The 6740-nt window shown below is 47.8% G+C and overlaps 3 annotated features.

Annotated features, from left to right (window-relative positions):
- Positions 9-188: a silencer, noted in NCBI's record as "silent region_1775". NCBI's record gives its function as "represses an Ori minimal core promoter by ATAC-STARR-seq in GM12878 lymphoblastoid cells {active_cell/tissue: GM12878}" and the evidence as "EXISTENCE:reporter gene assay evidence [ECO:0000049][PMID:35858748]".
- Positions 1639-1688: an enhancer, noted in NCBI's record as "active region_2454". NCBI's record gives its function as "activates an Ori minimal core promoter by ATAC-STARR-seq in GM12878 lymphoblastoid cells {active_cell/tissue: GM12878}" and the evidence as "EXISTENCE:reporter gene assay evidence [ECO:0000049][PMID:35858748]".
- Positions 3235-3354: an enhancer, noted in NCBI's record as "active region_2455". NCBI's record gives its function as "activates an Ori minimal core promoter by ATAC-STARR-seq in GM12878 lymphoblastoid cells {active_cell/tissue: GM12878}" and the evidence as "EXISTENCE:reporter gene assay evidence [ECO:0000049][PMID:35858748]".

The following is a 6740-nucleotide window of genomic DNA, read 5'->3' on the forward strand; positions in this document are numbered from 1 at the left end:
TGGGCTTCTCCCCGCTCCCCTTTAAGCAAGTGAAATGCAAATTCAGATTTGATACCCTGCCCTGAGCCAATCAAAAAAAGCTTTTCACCTGCCATTGGCCCACCCACCAATCAGAGGAAGTGTCTGGAGGGAGAGCCCTCCCCTGGCCAATGGAAGGCCAGCTCAGTCACTTAGTTAATGATGCAGCAGTACAGGGAAGGCCATCACATGTGAACTGGAAGGGAGCCAACATGGAGACACAGAGAGCGCAAGGTAAACAACTTTCCAACGCCAAAAGGATGACATTTAATCTCTAAATGCTAGCTTCCCTTCTTAGCTCATCCTTAACCCCTCTCAGCTGGCCACAGAGACCCCAGGAGCCTCACTACCTGTCCCCATAGAGCTCCTAACCAGATGCAACAGTGACTGCGTCACCATTCCCCACTTTTCCCAACTACGCAGTGACAAACCTACCAGCTTTACCCCACTTCTCCCAGCCCACACCCCACCCTGGCCACTCGGCTCCCCACCAGCCTCAGAATCCCAGGGCCAGACCTTTCAATAAGGCAACCCCTGGGAAAAAACTGTCCCTCTGTCTTCCTTTCGGCACTTCTCACTCCCTTACCTTCCACATAAGACCTGCACGGACAGACAGATGGACGCTGACACCCAAACAACTTGGAGAACCAGTCTGTCTGTCCACTAGAAGGAAATAGGGTAAAAGCTGGGAGGTCAGGTGGGAAGCAGGGGATGGTTCACTCCTCTCACCTCTACCCTGGTCAGGCTTGAGCAGCTGACACTAGGGAAAAGAAATTAAAGTGGGAAAAAACCCTCCCTCAGAGAAATAAATAGCAAAAATCGAGAAAGAAGGTGAGAAAGACAGAGCACCCACATACACAGAGACAGCGCCCCTGATCCCAGCAAATACATACGTGGGGGAAGAAGGGGGTTACGCCATCAAGTCCTGAAGCCCGTCGGACCACCCATCGCCGCCTGCGCAGACCCAAATCTTGGTCCCGCCGTAAGGTGCCGCAGTCCCGAATGTTCCAGAATTTGGTCCCATCAAACCCTCCACCGTCGCCCCACAACCTCTTGCTCCCACCCCTGCCCCCCACCACCACCCCACCTCCTCCCCACGGGAACCGCCCGTGCCACCTTGCGTGTCATCTCCTAGCCTAGGCTACCCAGAGGCCTCTGGCCCTGACAGATCTCTGAACGCTCAGCAAGTGAGCTGGCAGAACCTGGTGCCCGGTGTTGCTATGACTTGTTTCTTGATTTCTCTCTCTCTCTCTGCTGCAGCACGGCTGTTGCTAGCAGACCTATCGACGGAGCTTGCTTGCTCGCTCGCTCTCTCACTCTCTCTCTCTCTCTCTCTCTCTCTCTCTCTCTCAGCTCTGTGACGCAGATCTAAATTCTCCAGTCTGCTCCTTGTGTTGCAAGAGCAGAACTGCAGCTTTTCCCCTGGAGAGCCGGAGGGCAGTGCCAAGGCTGGTCAAACAAGGCAAAAAAAGTTGGGCCTACACTCTGCTTCCTTGGCCACACTTTTCAGCTCACACCCTCCCACCTCACCCCTCCTGCACCTCACTGCTCTGGGGCATAGAGGTCCCTGTCCTTTCAGGCTCACTCCTTCCCTGAGGCCTTCTCAGGCATAAGAGTAGCTTAACTCTTTGAGTGGCAGCCCCCAGTGCCCAGACAGGGCTGCCCTGTACTAAATGTTGCAACATGTTTTCTTGAGCCATATGGGCTTCTCCAGCCCTGAGAAAAAATGTTCCTCACCCTGACCACTGTCCCATTAACTCTTTGTGCCACAGACAAGTCCAGGATTACAGTCATAGCTGATTTCTGTTGTTTTTTGCCTTTTTGGCCAAAAACCAGGACCTTTTTCTCCCTGGAATTTCTTAAGGACAAAAAGCGTAATTAAAACATTGCCTGCCTACCCCACACATGAGATCCTTCTATCAGGGCAGGAATTTGAAAAACCAAATTGAACTGCAGCCTGAAGAATCCAGAGTAAAACCAGTCTGGATATCCATCCTTCCTGGGCTCAAAATTTTAGGGCCTAGGTAAATACGTTCAATTACTTTTCAAGTAATTGGCCACACAGTCTCAGAGATTTGGGTTGCTGAGTCATTTGTTCCCAAGAAGATCTGACAACATGAAAAACAGCAAAACAGAGCAACAGCCAAGCCTGGACCTGAAGTGGCCAATGACTGGGTTCTCCTCTCCAGCATGGGCAGTCAAGCAAGATGAGCATCCACGAGCCGACCCCCAACCCCTCCACAATGTTCATGCATGGATGTCCACACTCCTGGAAACTCTTCCAGGAAGGGGTGGTCCACCAATGATCTAGAGATGGAGTGGGGTTGTTTTTGGATACTCACAGGTCTCCACTACAGCAAGCAAAGAGCCCCCAACATTTTCCTGCCCCTCCCCCCAGACGCAAAAATGCTTCCAAGAACAACTGAGATACTAAATCACTAGACCCTACATACCCAGATAGACCAAGGGAGTGTTGGGTTCCCACACTGCTACATCCAAAGAATGCAGAAAGGTTCCCGACAACCAGTTGTACCATATGAGCCTAGACTTGACCAGAAGTGAGTGAGATATTCAGGTCCTGGGTCAGGTAACTTATGAAGTCTATGACATCAAGAACCTTGCAACTTCCAGGAAGATGAATGAGAATGCGAGGCCAGGCAGCTACCTTATCCCATATCTGCTTCCCAGGCAGCCTTCTTCAAGCAACTACTCTGGGCCAAAGTTTCATCCGGCAGAAAGAAGGACCACTTGGAAGACAAGCATGGCACTACACAGTTTTAAAAGAAGACCAGAGTATCTGTGCCAGGCTCCCAGCAGGGGGGAAAGTGCTTCAAATTCACACCTTCTGGGCTCCAAGGTTGAGCATGCCAATAAAGAAGTTACCTACTGGTCTGATGACCAAAGGAACGTGGCCTTGATGGCACTAAAGCAAGTCCCCCAGAAAGGTCCTCTGGTTACTTAAATCCCATTTGCCGTAGTTTCCTTCTCCATGGAAGAAAAACATGCCTAAGTTCATGTCAGGACATTCCTGATTTATCCAAGAGCCCAGGATCAAATAAACAAAGGGCTCTGAGCTCTGCCAGGGAGCCTCCTCCTTCAGGAGGCAGAACTAGAGGGAAGTAGGCTTGGTACAGAGCTGGCCCATCACCCCATGAACTTGGTGAGTGACGTGGCTGCTCACTGCCATGGCGATGGGGATGTTACGGGTGGGTGGAAGTGAGAGAAGAGGCAAATAAGTCATGAGAGACGAAGCGAAAGCGAGGCAGGGTCACAGGAGGAACCTACAAAGCCACAGAATTTGTACAGAGGCCGACTGTAGTCTATGACCGCAGCAAAACTAAGCTGAGTCCCTGCAAAGATAAGTCCCCATCTCAGGGGTGCGGCATGAACCAACTATGACTCGCAAAAACCTATGACAACACTACGTTCAGCAAGGCTTTGTTTCCTTTCATTTTCCCTCTAAATCTTTTCCTTCCCATGACCCCGTTGGTACGGCTTTGATGACTGGAAGAACACTAGGGTTTTCGGTTTTGCTCCGGTTTGAATAAAATGACACAGACATACATGGAGTGGTTTTAAAGAGTGGAGAATTTAATAGGCAAGAAAGAAGGAAGAGGCTTTTCCTGTACAGAGACAGAGGGGGGCTTTAAGCCGAAAGAGGGAACCTTGAGTGCGGTGGAAAACAGCCAGTTATATGAGGAGGCTGGAGGAGGCAGGATTAAAACAGTCATTTTAGGTACCTCTGCCCAATTCTAGGTCTTCCTTCTATTAACCTGATTCTACAAGGCACCAAGAACAAAAAAACCCGAATGGGATGACCAGGAAGCAGAAATGAATTCAGTTCCAAAAACATGGGAGGATGTTTACTTAGCAAGCACGCTCGAGCCTACAAGGAAGCAGTTTTACAGGGTGCTGCATGCAGTGTTTGATTTCAGGGGGTAAAGATAACTTCAGAGTGGGGAAAAGGTGCTGGCTCCTTCTACTCACCCTCAGAGGCTTGGGGAGGCCAGGCCAGCACAAACTTGAAAAGGCAAGGCTTCAGCTCAAGCCCAACAGGTTGCCGGCTCTCTTTGGCTCCTCGGCAGCTACCGGACTCAGGAACTAAACAAACTCTCCAGACTTCATGAGCATTCCGTGGCCTCCGACTGATCTGGGTCAAAACTTCGAAATGCCAAAGACAAAGAATTTTTTTCTTTAAAGGGGAATGAGCTGAACTTTGACCCGCCCTTGTTCAGGGTGTGGAATGCAAGCACTGTGTACCGGCCACAAACTCCAGTTCGGCAGGCAACAGCCAGAAAAGCAGTCTTCATGCCGGCTTCATGCCGGCCTCCCTGTCCTGTTTCCTCTTTAGGGCCAACTCGACGGGGTCTAGGTCTTTACCTCGCTCTCCAGACAGGGAAGCTGTGCAGAGGACACATTCCAATCTCTGTTATCTAGAGCTAGAGTGGATGTTCTAGATAAATCTGGCAGCGATCTGGTCTCAGGTGGAACTGACAGGCCCAGTCCACAGCAAGATGGCATTTCTGTTCACTCCCTGGGAGCTGGTGGACAACAGGCGCTTGGTTACCACCTGAGGTAAATCATTTATTAAGTACCTACTAAGTGCTAAGCCAAGATACAGCACAGGAAAAGCATCAGAAACAGTCCATCATGGAGAACACACACATTCCAGCTGAGGCTAAGTATTCCCAAATTTGCATTGCTGATATTTAAAACATCTGCTTACTTTAAAAGCTGAGATCCACTTTTGCAATGAAATAATATCAAACATACTGCTTGGTTCCCAGGCTAGCTCACAAAAGCCCATTTTATCCACTCCAGGAAGTCATCAACTCCAGTGTCTTCAGGGGCCATGCAGGTAATGAAGGAGTACAGTGGCCTGGGGAGGGGATGTGCCCAGTGGAAGGACCGTGCCACTCCTGATGGGCCACCCTCCTGGCTCTGCCTGCTGGGGACCATCTGGGAACAGAGACCCAAAGAGTCCAGATCATCCAGGTTTTCAGGGCAAGGCGGAAAACTAGCTTTATGTTAAACTCCTGATTTTTTTTTTAACACTGTCCAGATATTTTAATGGTCAGAACATACCTATAGAGCTTCCAGTTTGTTCTCCTGGTTGTAATGTGTCTAAAATACAATACGTTTGTAATAAAAAAAAAAAAAAAAAAGAGCAAGCATTGCCAGAGTGAGGAATTAAATAAAATAAAGAACATACCCAAAGAGGAAAACTTTACCTCACACATCTGCCATTTGAGGAAAATAATAAGCATAGAGGAAAATGAGGAAAATTTAAAACTTCCCTGAGGGCTGCAGGTGGAGAGGTGTATCGAAATGACTTCCAAGTATACGTGATTTAACTGAAGTAGTAATAATATGTGTGCATCCTGACCTGCCAGCTAGGCAGAAAAGTCATGCTGATATACTGGCTCTGTCTCCCAGTTGAGAGCGCTTCTCTGGACATCCACAAAACGTCCATCCAGGGCTTTGGTGATAAGATTGGAAGGGCTTATCATAATCCAGCTGCCCATTCAAGACACAGTACCCTCCACAAACACCACCGTGACCAAGTCATGGTCTAGCCCCAACTTGATTCAATAACTCCCACCACACCTTTGGAGGGTTCAGACAAGTGGAACACAACTGAGATGAAATCTCTCTGCAGGGAAATATTAGCCTTCAGGTCTCCACTCTGCCTCTGGAGCCCCAGAGAACAAGCCTACTCCCCCAAAGACTTGGAGACACTTTAGGATGGTTTTTACAACCAGAAGTTTTTAGGCTAAACAAGAAGGTACAAAAAGGGAAATTAAAAAGGAAGGGCGGGGGGAAGAAGCCAGAGAGAAATATTCTCGAAATAACTGATCAAAAGTTAACAAGCCAAAGGAAAAGAGGAAGAGACACAGGCATTCATGAGACAGGAGCCTCTTGTGGCCAAACCAATAGCAAGTGAAGAAGCACATGGGAAAGGAAGGGCCCACAGTCCATACACAAAAGAAAATGCCAAGAGCCACCAGATCAGACAGTTCCCAAGGCCAGCCACCAGGCTGTGCCAGTGATCCAGGACATACTGGTTAGAACCTTGCACTGGGAGAAGAAAACTGCATACAACTCACAATTGTTCAGTATGGAACTTTTTTCTGTCCAGGGGGAAGGGTTTCTTTTACTGATGGATTTGTTGGAGTTATTTATATATTCTGGATATGAATCCACTTGCCAGGTATAGGTACTGAGTATATCTTCTCCTCTCTGCTTGGCTTCACTCTCTTTTATTGATGTCATTTGATAATCAGAAGCTCCTCATTTTAATGACATCCAACTTATCAGTCTTCTCCCTTAGAGTTAGTGCTTTCTGTGTCTTCTTTAAGAAATGTATGGCTACCCCAAAGTTATAAAGATATTCTATGCTATCTTGTAGATGAAGTTTTGTTTTAATTTTCACATTTAGATTGATGATCGCTTTGGAATTTATTTTTGTATATGATCAAGATTCATTTCTTTCCTGTGGATATCCAGTTGAACCAGCACTGTTTATTAAAATAACCATCCATTCCCCACTGCCCAGCAGTGCCTTCTTCATCATAAATCAGGTGTCCAGATACATATAGGTCTGTTTCTGAGCTCCCTGTTCCATTTCTTTGGTAGAAATAAGACAAACAAATAGGTCTGCTATTACGGTGTAGATCACTAATTGTAAATCTGGTCATTTTAACATGTTTACAAGTAAGGTT

This window comes from Homo sapiens, chromosome 1 (genome assembly GCF_000001405.40).
Source record: "Homo sapiens chromosome 1, GRCh38.p14 Primary Assembly".
NCBI lineage: Eukaryota > Metazoa > Chordata > Mammalia > Primates > Hominidae > Homo > Homo sapiens.